Source organism: Homo sapiens, chromosome 4 (genome assembly GCF_000001405.40).
Source record: "Homo sapiens chromosome 4, GRCh38.p14 Primary Assembly".
Lineage (NCBI taxonomy): Eukaryota > Metazoa > Chordata > Mammalia > Primates > Hominidae > Homo > Homo sapiens.
Genome location: NC_000004.12, coordinates 48643417 through 48664316, shown reverse-complemented (window position 1 = coordinate 48664316; position 20900 = coordinate 48643417). Strand labels below are relative to the sequence as shown.

The following is a 20900-nucleotide window of genomic DNA, read 5'->3' as shown; positions in this document are numbered from 1 at the left end:
CTTCCACTGTGTCCTCTGCAAGTCCCCTCGCCACCTAACCAGTCAAGTGGCCTGTCTGATCTTGTTCTGATCTCAAAACCCTTCTTGGGCATTTCAGTATCTACTTTAATATTTCCTGGAGCCCTCTGAGTATTTCAGATGTTCTCTGAGAATCATTTCAGGTAAATGGAAGAGCCCAGTGGATAGGACTCTGGCACTTTAACCGTGGTCAGCCAGAGTTCCTTTGCTTTTATCCTTTTTTCTTTTTGGGCTTGAGCATAAAGATTCATTCTTCAGAAGAATACCCACCTGCTGAACAGTTTCATGTTTGATGTTGTTCCCACAGAGTGGCCTTCCCTGACCACCCTATCTCAGGCTCCCTCTGGTTTCCTCTGTGAGTATATCCCCTTCACTGCCTTCACAGCACTTCATCACAGTTCGTAATTTTATATACGTGTTTGTATGTGGGAACATTTGGACACACACACTTCTAATATCCACTATTGCATTCTAACCTCTCCAAGGACACAAGGGGATCTCTTTTTTTTTTTTTTTTTTTTTTTGAGACGGAGTCTCGCTCTGTCGCCCAGGCTGCAGTGCAGTGGCGCGATCTCGGCTCACTGCAAGCTCCGCCTCCCGGGTTCACGCCATTCTCCTGCCTCAGCCTCCCGAGTAGCTGGGACTACAGGCGCCCGCTACCACGCCCGGCTAATTTTTTGTATTTTTAGTAGAGACGGGGTTTCACCGTGTTAGCCAGGAAGGGGGATCTCTTTTATTTACTCAATTATTCTTTGCAGTTTTTAGATCACTTGTATTGAAGGTAACCACCGACATGTTTGGGTTTAAATCTGTCTTGCTGTTTGTTTCCTTTTTGTCCTATCTGTTGTGTTTTCTTTCCCCACCCGCTTTTCTTTCTTTTGGATTAATTGTGTAGTTTTTAGTATTCTAATTTATTCTATTCTTGGCTTATTTTATGTATATATAAATTAAATTAAATTAAATTATATATTTAATTAAAAAGTAGCTGTTCTGGGGTTTATAAAATGAATTTCAACTTCTCACAGCCTACTTTCAAATAGTAGGATAACATTTTACATATAATATAAGAACCTGAAACCTTATACTTCTGTTTGTCCTCCTATGTGCTATTGTAGTCACTTGTTTTATTTCTACATATATTATAAACCCAAATGTTCATTGTTAATTACTTTTACTTTAAATAGTTAATTAACTTTGAAAGGACATTTAAAATGAGAAACAAAAAGTATTTTAACTACACATTTACTGTTTCTGACATTCTTCATTCATTTGTATAGATTCAAGTTTTCATCTTGCATGATTTTCTTTCCACCTGAAGAACTTCTTTTTTATTTTTTGTAGTGCAGATTTGTTGGTGACAAAGTCTTTTAGCTTTTGTCTGTCTTGGAAACATTTTTACTTTCCTATTATATTTGAAAGATATTTTTACTGGATATAGAATTCTGGGTCAGTAGTTTTATGCTTTAAGCTTTTCATTGATGTCATTCTAACTTCTGCCTTGTATAATTTCCTGCTTTTTTTTTTTTTTTTTTTCTTCAGGAGATGAGATCTTGCTATGTTGCCAAGGCTGGTCTCAAACTCCTGGGCTCAATTGATCTGCCCACCTTGGCCTCCCAAAGTGCTGGGATTACATGCACGCGCCACTGTGCTGGCTAATTTCTTGCTTTTAAGATTCTTTCTCTATCACTGGTTTTCAGCAGTTTGATTATGGTGCACCTTAGCATGCTTTTTCTTTGGGTAGTTGTTTACTTTTGCTTGAGATTTTTGGATTTGTGGGTTTAGCCAGTCAATTTTAGAAATTTTTTGATCATTATTTTTTCGAATAATATTTTATTTTCTAAATTTACTTTATTTAAAAAATATTATTGTTATTGTTATTTTTTTTAGAGACAGGGTCTCGCTCTGTTGCCCAGGCTGCAGGTAGTAGCTCACAGTAACGTCAAACTCCTAGGCTCAAATGGTCCTCCTGCCTTAGCCTCCTGACTAGCTAGGGCTACAGGTCCTAATTTTTAAATTTGTTTATAGAGACAAAGTCTCACTATGTTGCCCAGGCTGGCCGTGAACTCTTGGCTTCAAGCAGTGTTCCCGCCTTGGCTTCCTGAAGTGTTGGGGATTACACGTGTCAGCCACTGTGCCTGTCCTCAATTAATATTTTCCATTCACTCCTTCTGAGATTCCAATTCCATATATATTAGACCATTTGCTGCTGTTCCATAAATCACTGAGTCTAGGTTCATTTTTGTTTGTTTGTTTCATTATGTTTAGTTGTCAGTGCTTCACTTTGGAGAGTTTCTATATCCATTTCTCCAAGTTTACTGATTTTTTCTTTGGCAGCATCTTATCCTCTGTTAGTTCTACATAGTGAATTTATTGTTTTAGATACTGTGTTTTTCTTTCTCCATTTTATTTGAGTCTTTTATTTTCTATTTCTTCTTCATTGTATTTATTTTTTCCTTTACATCCTGGAACTTATTTATAATTGCCGTTTAAAGAACCTATCAATTCTGTCATCTCTGTCATTTCTAGGTCTACTCTATTGACTGGTTTTATAGGACACATTTTCCTACTCCTTGACACATTTAATACATTTCAATTGGATGTTGCCATTTGTGACATCGCTGAGTGCTGGATTTTGTCACATTATTTTAAAGAGTGTTGTTTGTTTTGGAAGGCAGTTACTTGCAGATCAGCTTGATCCTTTGCAGCTTGGTTTAGAGGATTGTTTTGGAGTCTTTGAAACTACTTTAAGGAGTGCTTAGATAGTTGCTAGCCCCATTATGAGGCATGACCTTCTGGAGAATCTACAGAATGCCCTCAGTATTTAATGGGGACCTCTACTGTGGTTTGTGGGACTTCATGGGATCCCTTCCTGTACTGTAGTCCTGAAAGTGCCCTTAGGCAGAAGTTGAGGTGCTTGTAGTGTTCCTCTTATTTGTCTCTCATCTCTCAGGGGTCATCATTCTCCTTTGTCATGTCTGAAAACCTTGATCATATACTTTGTACAATGTTGTAATTATTTATGGTAGGAGAATAAGCCCAATTCCAGTTACTCCCTCAGGGCTAGAAGTAGAAGTCTTGAAAATGAAATTTTTTTTAACAAACTTTTTATTTCGGAATACTTTTAGATTTATAGAAAAGTTGCAGGGATAGTACAAAGAGTTTATGTGTACTCTACAATCAGTTTCCACTGCTGTTACTATTTTACATTGTTGTACACTGTTTACAGCTAATAAACCAATGTTGATGCATTATTATTTACAAAAGCTCATATTTTATTTGAATTTGTCTTATTTTTATCTATTGTCCTTTTTCTGCTTCAAGAAACCACTTTACATTCAGTTGCCACATTTCCTTAGGCTCCTCTAGACTGTGACAATTTCTCAGATTTTCCTTGTTTTTAATGATCTTGATAATGTTGGATTATTGGTTGGGTATTTTGTATACTGTCCCTCAATTTGGATTTGTCTCATGTTTTTTCTTTATAATGGTTAGACTGGGCTTAAAGGTTTTTGGGAAGAAGAATACAGATTAAGTGCCATTCTCATCACATCATTATCAAGAGTCTGTAGTATTAAAATGACTTATCACTGATAATGTTAACCTTGATCTCCTGGCTGAGGTAGTGTTTGTCAGGTTTCTCCATAATGAAATTACCCATTTCTTCCTGTTTTTATTTCCCTAGGAATGAACTATCACACCACAGGTGAAATGGTGCCAACCCTGGAAGCTCATTAGAGACAGTGCTCAGGGTTTTTATTGGAGCTATTCATGTGGGCACCCCCTTACCTGGCATAAACTCAAATTTTAGATGCCCAGGAGGAAAGCAGGTGTTTGATGTAAATTGTATTATTTATACAAACAGTTTAGGCATAGTGGAGCCACTCTTAACCAGTTCTGGGAGTGGTGGGTCCCTCCCAAAATCTAATTTCTCAGATGCCAGCCAAGGGCCAACCTTGTAAGGCCTTTCAAAGGATAGCAGTCAGGCCTGCTAGGTTAACTCCTTTCCCATACAATGAAAACTTTTTCTGTTCTCCCCTGTTTATTTACTTCTTCAGTCATTCATTTATATCAATATGAACCTATGTTGTTTATTGTGTTGCTCAAATTTGTTTCAGCTTTGACCATTAAGAGCTCTTTCAGTTGGCCCCTGTATCTGACATACCACATTGTTTTATTTTTTGAGCCCTTGTCTTTCTCTACCTTCTCTACTTTCTTTGTTTCTGATACTCCAAGATGCTCCAGGCTTATCTTGTATATTTTCTGCCTGTGTCCTAGAATTTCTCCAAGGAGCCCTGCTGCTGCTGCTGCTGCTGCTTCCTCCTCCTCCTTTCTTCTTCTTCTTCTTCTTCTTCTTCTTCTTCTTCTTCTTCTTCTTCTTCTCCTTCTCCTTCTCCTTCTCCTTCTCCTTCTCCTTCTCCTTCTCCTTCTCCTTCTCCTTCTCCTTCTCCTTCTTCTTCTCCCTCTTCTCCTTCTCCCTCTTCTCCTTCTCCCTCTTCTCCTTCTCCCTCTTCTCCTTCTCCCTCTTCTCCTTCTCCCTCTTCTCCTTCTCCCTCTTCTCCTTCTCCCTCTTCTCCTTCTCCCTCTTCTCCTTCTCCCTCTTCTCCTTCTCCCTCTTCTCCTTCTCCCTCTTCTCCTTCTCCCTCTTCTCCTTCTCCCTCTTCTCCTTCTCCCTCTTCTCCTTCTCCCTCTTCTCCTTCTCCCTCTTCTCCTTCTCCCTCTTCTCCTTCTCCCTCTTCTCCTTCTCCCTCTTCTCCTTCTCCCTCTTCTCCTTCTCCCTCTTCTCCCTCTTCTTCTTCTCCCTCTTCTTCTTCTCCCTCTTCCTCTTCTCCCTCTTCCTCTTCTCCCTCTTCCTCTTCCTCTTCCTCTTCCTCTTCTCCTTCTCCTTCTCCTTCTCCTTCTCCTTCTTCTCCTTCTCCTTCTTCTTCTCTCTCTTTTTTTTTGTTTTGAGACAAGAGTCTCACTTAGTTGCCCAGTGACTGGAGTGCCGTGATGCGATCTTGGCTCCCTGCAACCTCCGCCTCCGGGGTTCCAGTAATTCTTGTGTCTCAGCCTCCCGAGTAGCTGGGACTACAAGCGCACACCACTATGCCTGGCTAATTTTTGTATTTTCAGTAGAGACAGGGTTTCACCATGTTGTCTAGGCTGATCTTGATCTCCTGGCCTCAAGCAATCCACCCACCTTGGCTTCCCAAAGTGTTGGGATTACAGGCGTGAGCCACTGCACCTGGCCCCTGCTTCCTTTTTGTAGTAAAGTTTAAAAATGTTAAAACATTTTTTGAAGAAAATTTGAGAAATATAGGAAGGCGTAAGTAAATAGAAGAAAGAAGTAAGTATATCAAGAAGTTAGTCAATGCTATAGGTAGTTACTGTTAGCATTTTGTTGTGGTATTTAATGAGGTTTCAAAGAAAAATATGAAGTGATTGTTACAAATGTTTTTTTTTTCTTGTTTATATTTCATGTGTGGTGGTAATTACATAACAGATGTAAAAGCAACTTTCCTTCTACCTAAAACCTTGATTTTCTTATTTATTTATTTATTTATTTATTTATGAAGGTCTCACTGTCACTCAGGCAGGAGTGCAGTGGCGCATTCATGGCTCACTGCGGCCTCGACTTCCTGGGCCCCGTTGATCCTCCCACCTCATCCTCCTGAGTAGCTGGAACTGCAAGCGGCTGCCACCACACCTGGCAATTTTTTTTTTTTTTTTTTTTTGTATTTTTTTGTAGAGATGAGGGTTTTGCCATGTTGTCCAGGCTGGTCTCAAACTCCTGGGCTCAAGCAGTCCTCCACCTGGGCCCCCCAGAGTGTTGGGATTACAGATGTGAGCCACCTTACCCAGCCTACCTAAAACCTTTCAGTCTCTTTTCTAAACTCCAGAAAAGAGAAGACTCTGAAAAGCTGAAATCTGTGGGGGCTGTAGAAGGTTCTAGGATTGATGTGGTATTTGACATTTGTATAGAAAAAATTGCCAATTTCTTTTTTTTCCTTATGGTAATTCTGGATACCAGTTTAATAATTTTGGAGATATTTAAAACTGTCAATATGAGGAATAATTCATACATGTGTACTTTTTTCCTACAAATGAGTAATTGAAGAATTTTGTTTAGCCAGACCATTTAATTCTCATCAATTGCATATTTCTAGTTAAATCCGAACTTCATTCTATATTAAGTAACATTTTATTCAGATCCATATCTAAATAGCAATATTTTGTGAGATTTACTAAGAATTTTTCCTGGTATGTATGGTTTTGGTGTATTGGAATGTACCTCTGTTGACTCTGTGCTTAAAAATGTAAAGCAAGTAGCTACTTCCATGAATCCTCAAAATGCCAGTTAAATGGGCATAGAGTTAAGTGGAAGGTGATTAAAAGAAATAGGGAAACCTACTTTCTAACTCGTTGAGGGCAAGAGAACTTCTATGGTCATCTTTTGTGTCAAATCTTTAGTATATAGTATTTGGCTCATGCCAGGAGGACCTTATTCAATAAAGGCTGATAATATTGAAATTGGACTTTCTTAAAAAATGTTTTAAAACTTACCATTTAAAAAGCCTTCTTTAATATATAATCTAAAAGTTGGGGAGGAGTATAATTGAAGGAAATTATCCAAATTAGATTTTTCTGCTTTGCCAAGGATATGCCATCAAGAAACAATTTTTGGGGCTATCTTTTTATGGTGATGAGGTATGTGATACAATTTGGAGAATTCTGAATTTATAAAAAGAATACAATCGAAAATTGGCATTGCTTGTCTTTTGACAATCTTGCAGTAAGCTCTAGGCGGTGGCCGTGACTTAGTTTCTGTGAATAATTGGCAGGTTAAGGGTAGAAAACTCATTTGAAGATTGATAGCAGTATCGTTCTTTGCGTAATTTAAAAACAGGATTAGTAGCTGGAGCAACATGGCAAGAACCTACTTCTCCAAAAAAAAAAAAAAAAAAAGAAAAGAAAAGAAAAATCAGCTGGGCGTGGTGGTGTGCACCTGTCTACCCAGCTGCTTGAAAGGCTGAGGTGGGAGGATGGCTTGATCCCAGGAGTTTGAGGCTGCAGTGAACCTTGTTCGTGCTACTGCACTCCTGCCTGGGCAACAGAATGCGACCCCATTTCAAAACAAAACAAAAACAGGATTAGTAATCAAAGGATTGAGAAAGCATTCAGAATATAGTGGGACTCTTCCATCATCATCTAAAAGGTTTGGTTGCATGCATATGTAGTTGTCCTAGTTAATACTTTGCTAAACTGGATGATAAAAGTTCAGGAAGGATTAGAAAGAAAATACTTATTACACTAAGCTTTGCTAAGATGTTTGTGATTAATAGTTGAAATAGTAACACTATTTTAGTCTTTACATTTTAGAATTGAGTTGAGAGAATGAGGCTCTGCCCACATGGGCCTATTGAGTTAGTCTACATATAAATGGGAAGTGCCATAGTCACCTGCTTTCTGTGTATGATAAAGCCCTGATGTAAAATGGAACTTCCAAAATAAGCTCTGAAATTAATTTCTTGCGTGTGTTCCAAAGAAACTATTAATTTGCCTTGGCGATAAATAAATATATATATATATAGTCAGTCATATATATACATTTTATATATATGCATATATATGTATCAGTCATATATACATACATGCACATTATATATAATGCATATATGTATACATTACTATATACATTATATATAATGCATATATGTATACATTACTATATACATTATATATAATGCATATATGTATACATTACTATATACATTATATATAATGCATATATGTATACATTACTATATACATTATATATAATGCATATATGTATACATTACTATATACATTATATGTACATGATTATATGTACATTATACACACATGATTATACATTATATATACATTATATATAATTATATATTAATTATATATTATATATTTAGTATATATTATATAATATATTTAGTATATATTATATAATATATTTAGTATATATTATGTAATATATAATATAATATACAAATTTATTTTGAATTCATATTTGAATAATGTATATTCAAATATATATTCATAATATATATTCAAATTTTCATGAATATATAATGAATAATCATGTATATATAATGTATATATAACTATACATTATATAATGTATAATTATATACGTTTTATAATGTATATATTGTATATATTATTTATGTATATATGTATACAATATATACATTATATAAAATTATATATAATTATATAATGTATAATTATATGTACATTACATATTATACATACATTATATTTTACATTATATATTTTACATTATATACATATATTGCACATTATATATAATGCACATTATATATAATGTACATATAATTACGCATATAATGTACATAGAATTACACATTATATATAATGTACATAGAATTATACATTATATACATGTATGTGTATATATGTATGTATATAATACATTATATATAGTATATATAATTATATAATTCTGTATATATAATTTTACATTATATATGATTATATAATACAGAATGTATTACATAATGTATTATATAATTATACATTAGATATAATTTTATATACTTATACATTATATGTATATATACATTATATAATATATACATTATATAATACATTATACATTATATATAATGTATATATAATTATATATTTGTTTGGGTCTAAATTGGCTTATTTCCTGAATTTGTTAACAACTGTTTGATGAAAAGAGGATTGTATTATGAAATCACTTTGGAGGATAAATTAATCAGAAAAATTTAACTAGTTTCTGTAAAACTGGGAGTATTTTGCATGTTGACATATATTGTTAATGTATAAGAATGGGATGTATTATAGTATGTAGTGTTTCTGGGCTGTGGGATGCACTTTTTTCATTCAGCATCTTAAGGCATGTTTTCCATTATATGAGGAGAAATCCTGGTGTCTAAACTAATTACGAGATGTCTCTAATCGCGATGTATCCAAACAACAGTATTGTGGTATTATGGTTCTGTGTTGGTTAGCCTTTGCCTTCCTGATTTGAATTTACTTTTTGGGTCAGTTTAGGAGTAGGGATGGCCAGATTTCTTGGACTGCTCTGAGAAAAAATATACCTTCAAATGACCCCCACCCCTTCCAAAAAATACCACTACCACTGAATATCTCTTAATGAATTTCCCATAATGTATGATAGTTGTTTGTGAAAGGATGTTATTTTAGCTTATGATACAGTGCCTAGCCATTTGGCTGTGAATAAATTTATTCAGTTATGACTTTGATCACTGCATTTCCTTATTCTTTGTGTTACTTAAAGGGTACAATGCCATGTAGATGGATTGGTACAAATGTATTGCTACATATGGAAAAAAATAACTCTAAACACATGACCTTCAAAGTCACAGTAAACTAATATGAGGCCAAGACATTTTTCTTCTGATAATGACATATTATTTGTTCATTTTGGTTGTGAATTTTTTCTACTGTTTTGAAGAGCAGTTAGGCTTTAACAGCGTCTGCTTTCAGTGTAGAACAGCTTCTATAGAAGAAAGTTTTACAAATGTGTAGTATTTTGTTTGACCAGAGGATTTCTCGCTATTCATTGACATTTTGACTATAAGATTTTCGTGGGAATTATGTGCTATATTAAGAATAGAAGACTGTATTTTCAACTAATCCCATTATTATAATAGAGTTATCGCTTTTGAGTAAGTTGCACGCAGCAGAGGAAAGTTTGTCCTGAGCTGAGCAGTTTTAGAGGCTGATGGGGGCTCAGCCATAGATTCATTACATCATCTTTTCATTCCATTAGCCAGCGTGATCTCCAGTGGGGTAAGTGAGACAGTGGACTCTGCATCATCACAAACATGCTGAGAAAATCACTGCTTACTGCCTGGGTGTGTAGAGAGGTGGAGAGAATTTACTACTAAAATAACCTAGAGGAAACTGATGTTGAAGTCAGCCAAATACCTCCAGTTTTTTTTGTTTTTGTTTTTGTTTTTTTTTTTTTTTTGATCAGCTATTAAGGGAAAAGATTTAAAGATTTTATACTAAATCCTAATTTATTTATTTTTTAAAAAATTTCTAAGGCTCTTAGTGAGAAAAGTTGGTACCCAAGGGCAGAGCTTCTTACCCTTGTCTGTTTACTAGCAGTCGTGATTACATAGCTAGAGACACTGCTCCTCAAAACTGGTAACAGTAACATAAACAAAGAAGATAATCTTGGCCATGTGTATATCTGCATAAAGAAAGGTGAGGGTGTCCTTCTGGGCACTTATAATAAACTTGTAAGCTTTTATTCAACTGGATAGTTCATCTGCATTCAGCGGCATTTCCACTATAGTTGTGCGTCACTGCAAGACTGCATGGTAATGAAGCCAAGGCACTGTGGGCCAAAACTCTGCTGCCTGTGAGAAGAGAAGGGACAGCGGCTTGGAGAGACAGAACGGCAAAACCGCTGCTGCTGCTGCTTCTGCTTCTGCTGCTGCTGCTGCTGCTGCTGCTTTTGCAGCTGATTGAGACACTATGTTGAGTCTACAGGATTCTGTGTTTTTTGAAATTAGCATAAAGTCCTTGTTAAAGTCCTGGAGCAGCAGCTGTAAGTATATATTCCTACATGAAAAAAAAAATGCTGAGGTATTATTATCATTGCCATTCCTTGCATGCTGATTCTTCAGACCAATCCAAATAGATAAAAAGCTGTTGAAAATAGCATGAAGAATATTTTCTTGAATGGTAATCAGTAAGATAGAAAATCTAGACATGCACACATCAGACAGTTGTAAAATCAGTAGTTAATTTTCTTTGATGAAAATTTACCAGCCTTGAATTTCTTGGTAATTTGTGTTATTCTGGCAAAGTTTCTCGCAATTAGTCATAAATGGGGGGCGGGGTGTGGGACGGGGGAAGAAGACCACAAATAGATTCTAATCTCTGCAGGGTTATCAGATACCAGTACTCTTCCACACTTCTGTTAGCACAGAATGTTGTTTGAATCAACATCAGCTATCTTAAGGCACTAGAAACATAATATAATGATAATAGCTTTCCCTCATTCTTCTAATTGAAGTTATAATGTGTAATTTTCATATGTAGTAAATTTTCTTATAAATAACATTCAGGATGATATACTTAGATTTCAAAGTTCAGTTAAGTCAATACAACTGATGCCGTTGAGCTATTATTCTGTCCGTAACTCTCTTCCTAACATATGAATTTGGCAGAAATATTGCTTTTGTTCAATATTTCAATCACACTTTTTCCTTTAAAGATCTCAAAACACTTACCATAGTCTGTTTACTTTTTTGCCAAAAGTATCATAATACAATATCAAACTCATGAATTAAGTAAACACAGGTTCTATTATCATGTTTGTTTTGGTCAAAGAAAATTGAAGTATAGAAAAATTGTGACTTTTCCAAGGTCATACAGTGGCAAAGAATTGGAATAGAACCTGGTTGTTTTTGCTCCCAACTGTGCTGCTGGTGCCTAAGCAAACTAATGTATAAAATATCAGAAATTAAATTTACATTTTTCCAGGTTAACTCTTTACCAAAATATTTATTTAGTGTAGTTTTGTTTTTTAAGCAAATAATATGAAAGTGAAAATATTGACATGAGAACAAAAACCCTCTTAAGATAAAGTCTTATTGAATATGGTTTGAGGAGGTTTGTAAATGCAGCCAAATATACTGCATTTACAATCCCTATATTTCTTTTATTTTTTATCTATAAGTAATTCTTCCATATGGAGATACTGTTGTGCCAGATGGCAGAAAATTATCTTAGTTCTAGGAAAGTTTTTAAGTGAATATACATAGTTAAAATATTGGGAGAATTGTAATTACTGACTAAATCAAGTTAAATACTTTCACTAGTTAAAAGGGAGACAGTAATGTAGAATACATTTTTGCTCAAGTAAACTGGACTGTAGCTTCTAATCTTTCTCTCAGTACTGTTTCCCCTGCTTCTCCCATCCTCACCATGTACTTTTTTAAAAATAGTAAGACAGTTTTATAGTGAGAATAAAGCTATAATTAACAACTTCTTATAGAAGAACAGTGTATTATATCACAGCAGCTTGTCTTGTAAGAACTTTGTTTAGGTACTTGTGAACTATGTGGTTATCCTGTTTTATGGCCATTTAAATATTTCTGCATGTCGTTGCCTGAACCCTGTAACCAGCCACAGCCAAATCTTGTTTAATCATACTCCTTGAATCCAGTAGTGAACCAAAAACAGATGTTTGTAAAGCCTTTGTTTTTTAGCAGTTAGTAATATAGTGATTCAGTCAGTCTGGGGGTATCCCATTGCCCTTGGGCATTCATAGTACACATCTCATGAAGGTGTCTTTACCATTCTGAAGTAATAGGTTATTACTGGAAAGAAATTGCTAGTCTCAGTGTTCAGCAGGGCTCTGTCCTTGTCTGCTGTAGCCCTGGAAAGTGGAAGAACGTTTTTATTTCACCAGTATCTGTGGGTGTCTTCTTTGTCTTCACTTATCTTTGTTGTATGAGAGAGTTAAATACAACTCATAGGGGGAGGGGTTAAAATATTAAGACCATAGAAAAGGATAGTAGTTAGCTCTTTCTTCCTAGGAATGTTTTTGTAACATCAACACTTTTGAGTCAACCAGTGTTTATAGAGCGTATGCTACTGTGCTGTGGCAGATAGAAGTATAAAACGTGTTCCTTTCTCTCGAGGAGCTTAGAGAAAGTATATGTGAAAAGTTGTAGTAAGGAAGTCAAATGAGAAATGTTGTGTGTGCACTGTGACTTACCAAATGACTGTTATACATAAAACAGACTGAGAGTCCAGAGATAGAAGGAATCACATTGGTCTGCTGGGCATGGGAGGTCACGTTGGTAGTCCTAGTACTTTGGGAGGCTGAGGTGAGAGGATCACTTGAGCCCAGGAGTTTGAGTCCAGCCTGGGCAACATAGTGAGATCCTGAGATCCTGTTTCTACCACTACACACACACACACACACACACACACACACACACACACACACACACACACAGTGAGATCCTGAGATCCTGTTTCTACCACTACACACACACACACACACACACACACACACACACACACACACACACGGTGCATGTGGTCCCAGCTACTCAGGAGGCTGAGGTGTGAGAGGATTGCTTGAGCCCAGGAGCCCTGTTCATGCCACTGTACTCCAGCCTGGGTGACAGAAGGAAACACAAAAAATAAGAAGGAATCACATTGAACTACAGGGTCAGTGGAGACTTAAGAGGGAAAGGGATTTTTCTGAGTTTGGTTTTGAATGATAGGATGCTCTCCATGATGGTAGGTAGTACTGATATCCACAGTCTCCCCAAGCCAGAAACCAGAGGTTGGTTACCACGCCTCTTTCACCCCAACCCCTTTCGGTCCTTGACCACAGCTTGCCATTCTGCCTACTCAAATTTCCGTAGTCTCTCCTCTCCACAGCCACTATCCTAGTTCAGGCCTCTCTTCATCATCACCTGGAATATTGCCACAGCTTCCATATTGGTCCTGTTTGCATCTTCCACATTGCTGGTAAGGGTTCCTTTTAAAAGCTGGCTCTTCATGTCCCTCCCTTCCTTACCTCACAGATTTTCTGTCTCCTGTAGGAGGAGGCCTTTCATCATCTAGCCTCTGCTCATTTTGCCTGTTGCCGTTCTCGCCATGCTTTGCCAGTTCTGGAAGCATTCTGTGCCTTCATATTTGCTGCTACCTTTGCCTGAAATGTACCCTCTCATCTCTCTGCCTGCATCGCAATGATTTTTACTCCTCTTTCAAGACCCATTCTTCCTTCAGTCAGCCACATAGTTAATGCTTCATCTGTTCTCTTCTTCACTTTAAACATCATTGCATCATTATACTCATCATCTTGTTCATGTCTTTCTCTGCTACTTGAGTGTAAGCTTCTGGAGGGTATTGGTTGATTGTCTTTTTGTTCTTTGTGTATTTAATGCTTATTTAAGCTCTGGTAAATGTGCAGACAAGTAAGATATTGGGTAGAGCTGCAATAATTTTTGTTGGGATGAGTTTATAATAGAGAAGAAGGTAGAAGCATAAATATATGACCCCTTTTATAATTTGGTTATTAATATTATGCTACTGATGTCTCTCAGGGGAACAATTCCTGAAGTAGGAATGCATAAAATGATTTTTTAGTGATTAAATACATTTTCATAACATTTTATTTAGTGAATTTCTTGGAAAGAACAGAGGAAAACTTGATTTATTAATAGCCTTTATAAAAAAAGAAATGAAAAATTTTTTCCATTAAATAAATTATATATTTCAAATGTTGCCCCTACCCTCCTGAAGAAAAAAGAAAAAGAAAAAAATCTATGGGTTGTGTCTTCGAACATAACTTAAAAGCAGTGTATATTATTATAGTTCATCATTAATTATAATAGTGTTTCTTATTTATAAGATGCATTTGCGTGCTTTGTATTAATGTTAAATGCTACTTTTTATATTAGTCGCTAGAGGCCCTCTGGTTTCAGGGCCTGCTTAGCTGGCAGAATGTTGATGCAGTGCTGCTGAAGTTTGATTATAGTTGAGCTTATTTCTTTCAGTAACAACAATGAAGTGACATTCATATGGCCTAAATTCAGGATTTTGTCTTTGTGCCAACAGTTTTAGGCATTACTTCTTTTAAAAACTGAATCAGGAACATTCTGTTAAACCAGCTGTGTCGTGAGGATGTTATCATTTAAAAGATTGGCTTAGTTCCCTAAAATTGATAAGACAAAGCAAGACTCAGTACTGAGATCTGTTCATGTAATGCTAAGATCACAGATGCATTTGCTGTCCATATAATACCTCTTGTAAGCATATTAATTTATAGAATTTATTTTGCATACATACTTTTATGAGAGCTGGTGTTTCAAAGAATTTAGTTTTTATCACAGACATAAAATAGATTGACCTTCTTAAACCGTAATTTTATAAGTTAAAATGTGAATAAGATATGGTATGTTAAGAAACTGTATTTGCATAGATTACTTGCATTTTTGCACAATGAGAAAAGTTCATAAATTGTTTTTAATACTCAGATTTTTTTTTTGGATTGTAAAAATAGTAAAAGCCAACCCCAAAAAGCACATTATACATTCATCTAAATTTCAGTTAAAATCTGTGTTATTTGATTGAAATAATACCATTTGTTGAAGTATTTATAGGTCTAGTATTGTGGTAAGTACCTATCGTATGTCTTTGCACACGTATCTGTGTATACTCACATTATATGCACATACATTAAATCTCTTGTAACCATCAGCATGAAAATCTCAAGAGGAATATTATTGCTGTTTTTCAAAGTAGCAACTTTATTGTGAGATTCACATACTATAAAATTCATTAAGTATTCAATTTGGTGGGTTTTAGTGTATTCCAAAATTGTACAATTATCACCAGTATCTAATTGCAGAATGTTTTCATTATCTAAAAAAGAAACCTCATACTCATTATTCTACTTTCTGTCACTACGGATTTGTCTATTCTGGACATTTCATATACATGGAATCATACAATGGGTGTTCTTTTGTGACAGGGTTCTTACATTTAACTGTATTTCCAAGGTTCATTTATGTCATAACATGTATTGAATAATGTTCCATTGGATGGATACATCACAATTTGTTTATCCATTCTTCAATTGATAAATTGCTGTTTTATAGAGTAGTAAATTGGGGCTCAGATAAGCAAAAGAACACTAAGAACACTCCCTCACCCCCCAGAAAATCTCACACCCAAACTCTTTAGCTAACTTTCTCTACTCCTTCATATTTTAATTGAAGGCTTCCCTGATCAAGTGATACTTTAGGAAGATCTGAAGGAAGAAATAGTTAACAGTTTGGGAGATAGGTGGGTGGGCAGAAGGGATATCAAGTGCTAGAAGCTGGAGGGAATGGCCGGTTTGGCTGGAGCAGAGAGCTATGGAGAGCATGGTGGGAATGAAGCTGGAAAGTTAAGCAAGGACTAGACCATGTAGAATAGCAAAAACCTTGTTATGGATTTTGGTCTTAATCCTAAAATAAATAGGTAACCATTGATGGGCTTTGCGACAGTGATTGGGGTGATTTCATCAAGTTTCTGTCTTTGGGGTGGTGCCAGGAGACAAGTTAGGATGCTATTGAAAGAGACTATATGTGAGATAAAGGTTGAACAAATGGAAGAAATGTTATTTATTTAGCAAACAAGTATATAATACCTACAACATGTGTAGGTACTCTTCTAAGCACTTTACAAAACATTCATAGTGATGGGAAATATTTAAGAGGTAGGAAAAATAGGTCTTGGGTTAGGTACAGGAGATAACGGAAATTTTTAACTAGCTGTTTGCACAACTAATTTTGTAGGGTCAGTTACATTCTCATTGACATCAGTTTCAGAAATGTATCTGTTGAGAGTTAATGTTGGTCATAGTGGAAAAGAATCACCTATTGCTTATTGTCAGAATACTCTTATCATCCCTCAGATAAATTTGTCTGCTTTGAGAAGTGGATCCTAAGAAAGCCAACTCATTGTACTATTAAGTAAACAACGTGAATTTTTCATGATGGTCCCTGAAAAGTGGGATTTCTAGCTCCAGGTGTCATTGGATTTAGAGTCATGGGCCTGCTGTATCTTTTTTTTGTTTGTTTGTTTAATTCTAACTTCTTAAGCTAGGTTCACCTCATTTGAGAAAGGAGACATTTCATTTTTGAGACTAAACAGTTAGTGTTGTGAGAAGTACAGCTGATTATCGGACTCATTAAGTATTTGGGTTTCACAATTTGCTTTAAAATTTTATTGATAAATATTAAATACATAGTTTACTAATAAGATTCAAAATCAAGAAAATCCAACATAGATGGTCAAAATATTCATAGGTGACTGAGAGTATCCAAATGGGCCAGGTGACTGAGAATACGCAAACAGGCCAGAATAATATCTGTGTTAAATTTGACCCTCTATTTTATTAACATATCTGTCATGACCTTTCTCTGTACCTGCTGTAGTACTCATGTATAGACTCAGTCTTATAGCAGGCCCTGGGTCCTATCCTGTGCTAAGATGGGGAGTTTGGGACATCCCTAGTTCATTAGTTCAAGTGACTTACCATCAGCCCAACCTCACTACAAATTTGGATCTGCCTTTGTTCTTCAGTTGTAGTATCTCGGCTACCCATTCTTGTGTCAAAGCCTCCATCTGTAATTATTGGTATCTCTTCTTTCCTGAGCCTTTCCTTATCAAACTTTGGTATTCCATTTCCTTCAAATGTGGAACCCTGCTCTGATCTTGAAGAGAATGAAGTTCTGCTGGCATACCTTTTTGTTGATTAAACCCACCTCCCTAGCCGTGTGTCTATATATTTCCTGTTCATAGACTTTGCATTATTCAACTGTTTGCCAGGATAACATCTGCTGTTCTCCTGGACCTCCCTGGTGCTTTTTACCTGTTATCATATTCTCTAGGTACCATCTTCTGCCTCCATAATTAGATGCCGTATGACCTCCAACAATGCTGGTATTCAGTCATTAGGCATCCTGGCTGTAGCTCTTCTGATAGCCCCTCTGTACTGACTGCTTAATATTTTAAATATGATACCTGACAGCTGTCTTGCCTATTGTAGGCATAGCCTGTGCCAGAGTCTCAAATCACTGGGTTCTGGCCTATTCCACTACTGGTCAAACTCTTAGTCTTCTTTTCTGGAAGTAACTGTTTGCAGTTGCATTGTCACATTGATAAGACAAGTTTGCTAGCCTTTTGCAGGATGAGAATGGGTCATGTCTTTTTGGTTATTCTTCCTAGTCTGTTGATGTGTGATACCACAGGACATTGCCTGTTTGATGGCATTTTTGACGATTTTAGATCTATTAGTTGGTTTTCATTAAGCATGCTATTTTCCAATTTTTAAAATTTTGCTAAATGATTAAAGTTTTAAGGGTTTTTACAGAAAGATAATTAAAGAGAAATTCATTTGAATAGGGAAGGCTGTCGAAGAGAATTTCCAAATTGTCAGACCTGTTCTTCCCAGAAGGTAATGACTTGTAAATGTCATAGAAAATCTTGTGAATTGTTTTATAAGCTGTATTTTCAGTTACATTATTGATATATGATACAGAAAGTAGTTAGTCAAGGCATTCATAAAAAATGAGGAATGAATTATTAATATCCATTATCATGCAATATAGTAACGATATAACAAATACAGACTTACATTTGATACATTAAGTCGATCCTTTTTTCTTTAAAATAAGCTTTACATGATTTTGGAACAATATCTGAATGAGTAAATTTTATTATAGGGAGACTATATGGAAGAAAATAAGAAGATGATTCCAGTAACATAGCCTTAGTAATATCGTTGAAGATAAGGTTAGTAGTGTGTTTTTACGTAGAGTGCAAGGGCATTGTATTGCCATGATTTGAAGTGTAGGGCTTTTGTATGGTTGGAATAGAACTACTTGATGGCTATTATTTGTGGTATTATAATTACAGGTTTCCTTATTTATGGTGCTTTTGAAACTTTTTAATGATCACAATCAACTTTAAGTAAAATTATTGTATAGAGCCAACTGTTCCATTTTAGAAGAATAGGGTAAGGCAATAGTTCACAACCCTGGCTGCATATTAGAATCAGCCTGGGGAGCTTTCAAAAACATACACATACCTGGGCCCCATTCCAAAGATTTTGATTCTGACTTAAGGTATGGCCAGAGATGGCCAGCAAAGTTCAGGGTCAAGTCAGAAAGCTTAGCATTGTCAGAATGCTGAGAGTATATATGAAATCTTTTCTGGGAGTGGAATCATCATAAAGAATATGACAGACAAATTCTTATATGTTTGCCAATTTACTAATTTACAGTGAGAAATATGCCAAGTGGATATTAATGCTGGAGTTGGCAGCCCATCCTTTGCCATTTTTGTGGGATAAGCTCATACAAAGCTGAATTATTATCAGAAGGTTGCACAGAGAGCCTGAAGATCGAAGAAATTTATGCCCTGTTCTAGGGGCCAGAATATTTATCTTTTGTAAGAACACCTTCTCCACAGCGCTGTACTTAACTGGGCATTACCTTTTTATCAGCGCTGTGTTAAGTGTTTCATTTCCCTGTACCTTACCTGCAGTAGGTGATATATGCATTCTTTTTAGTATTTGCCAGTCTGATATATATATATATATATATATATATATATAAAATGAAAGCTCACTGCTGGTTTAATTTACATTTTCTGGGTACACTGTTTGAACATTTTTTCATATGCCTGTTGGCTTTTTAGACTTGCTGTTATGTTGAATTGCTTATGTATATCTTTTGGCACCTTTTCTTTATTGTGTTGTCTTTTTCTTATTATTTTGTAAGAGCTCTTTGAATGTTTTATATTTTCTATCATCTACATTATAAATATTTCTCCAACTTTGTCTTGTTTATGGTATCATTTCTCCTAAATATTTTAAATTTGTATTTGGTTAAATGCATTTATCTTTAAAAAATATATAATTTTGGGTTTGCTCTCTAGGCTACAGGTCTTTTCACCCCTTGATTATATAAGAAGATTCCCAATTTCTTCTAAGGTTTTGAAAAATGAATTTTTAACTTCATGTCCATCTGGACATTGGTTTTTGTTTGTTTGTTTGTTTGTTTTATCCAGTCAGGTTTGGAATCTGATGGACTTTGGTTTTTGAGTATAGTATATTTATTTTTTCTTTAGATGAATGGCCAGCTGTTTCAACATTTTTACTAGATAATCTTTTTCCTTCTAATTTTGCCCATGTGAATTCTTACCCTGGAATGCAGGGGGTACTTTTTTTTTTTTTTTTTTTACAATTATCTGATTTATCTACACTTATGTCTACTGAGTTGATTATTGTTATATTATGTTCTGATATAATCATATTATGTTCTGATATATGTCTTGATTATAGTTATGTTCTGATTATAGTTAATTTCAAATAATATTCTTTGTATTTTTTAAAGTAATTTTTTTGGCTTTTCTTGAGTGTTTATTCTTCCATGTATACTGTAATATAGATCTATCCAATAAACCTAGACAAAACAGTCTCAAAATTTTAGTGGGCTGGCCAGGCGCGGTGGCTCATGCCTGTAATCCCAGCACTTTGGGAGGCTGAGGCAGGCAGATCACCTGAGGTCGGGAGTTCGAGATCAGCCTGACCAACACGGGGAAACCCTATCTCTACTAAAAATACAAAATTAGCCAGCATGGTGGCGCATGCCTGTAATCCCAGCTACTTGGGAGGCTGAGGCAGAAGAATCGCTTGATCCTGGGAGGCAGAGGTTGCAGTGAGCCGAGATCGTGCTATTGCACTCCAGCCTGGACAATAAGAGCGCAACTCCATGTCAAAAAAAAAAAATTTTAGTTGGAGCTGTGCTAATTAATATATTAATTTTATGAAAATTGACACTTATGATAAATCCTTCCATCTATGACTATGTCTTTCCACATGTTCAGATCTTCTTTTATATCTTCTTTTATATTAGGAAGCGCTTGTCCTTTCCTCTGTATGAAGTCCTATGCTTTTCTTATTAAATTTATTTCTACCAATTTTATTTTTGCGAATAGAAGGTCTTTTAAAATCATTTTCTATTTCTAGGTGATTGTTGCTAGTTAATAAAGTTTCGTATCTTTTTTAATATTTGTAACGATTTAATTTTTTAATATTATTGCATTTACTTATCATCTCCAGGATGGTGTTGAATAGCAAGGCAAAAATCAGCACTTCAGTTTCTGTTTTTAATCGAAATAGGTTTGTTTTGCAGCCTATATTATTTGCTGCTGATGTTTGTTAAATATTTTATTTGTTTTCTTTGTCTCTGGCTGCTGGATACCTTTAGGTATACAGTTATATTACTTTGTTTGCTACTTGAGTGTAGGTCAGACTGCTA

The 20900-nt window shown here is 35.5% G+C and overlaps 1 protein-coding gene across 17 annotated transcripts in view; it reads left to right on the top strand.

The window, feature by feature from the left end:
* FRYL (FRY like transcription coactivator) overlaps positions 1–20900 on the top strand; it is a 282923-nt gene that overhangs the window by 115963 nt on the left and 146060 nt on the right. The window contains exon 1 of one of the 17 annotated variants that reach the window (XM_024453992.2): positions 10420–18369. The exons of the other annotated variants lie outside the window; for them this stretch is intronic. The gene's annotated coding sequence lies outside the window, so the exon portion shown is untranslated. Of the gene's footprint in view, positions 1–10419; positions 18370–20900 lie in introns of those variants that run through there. 17 annotated transcript variants of the gene reach the window in all.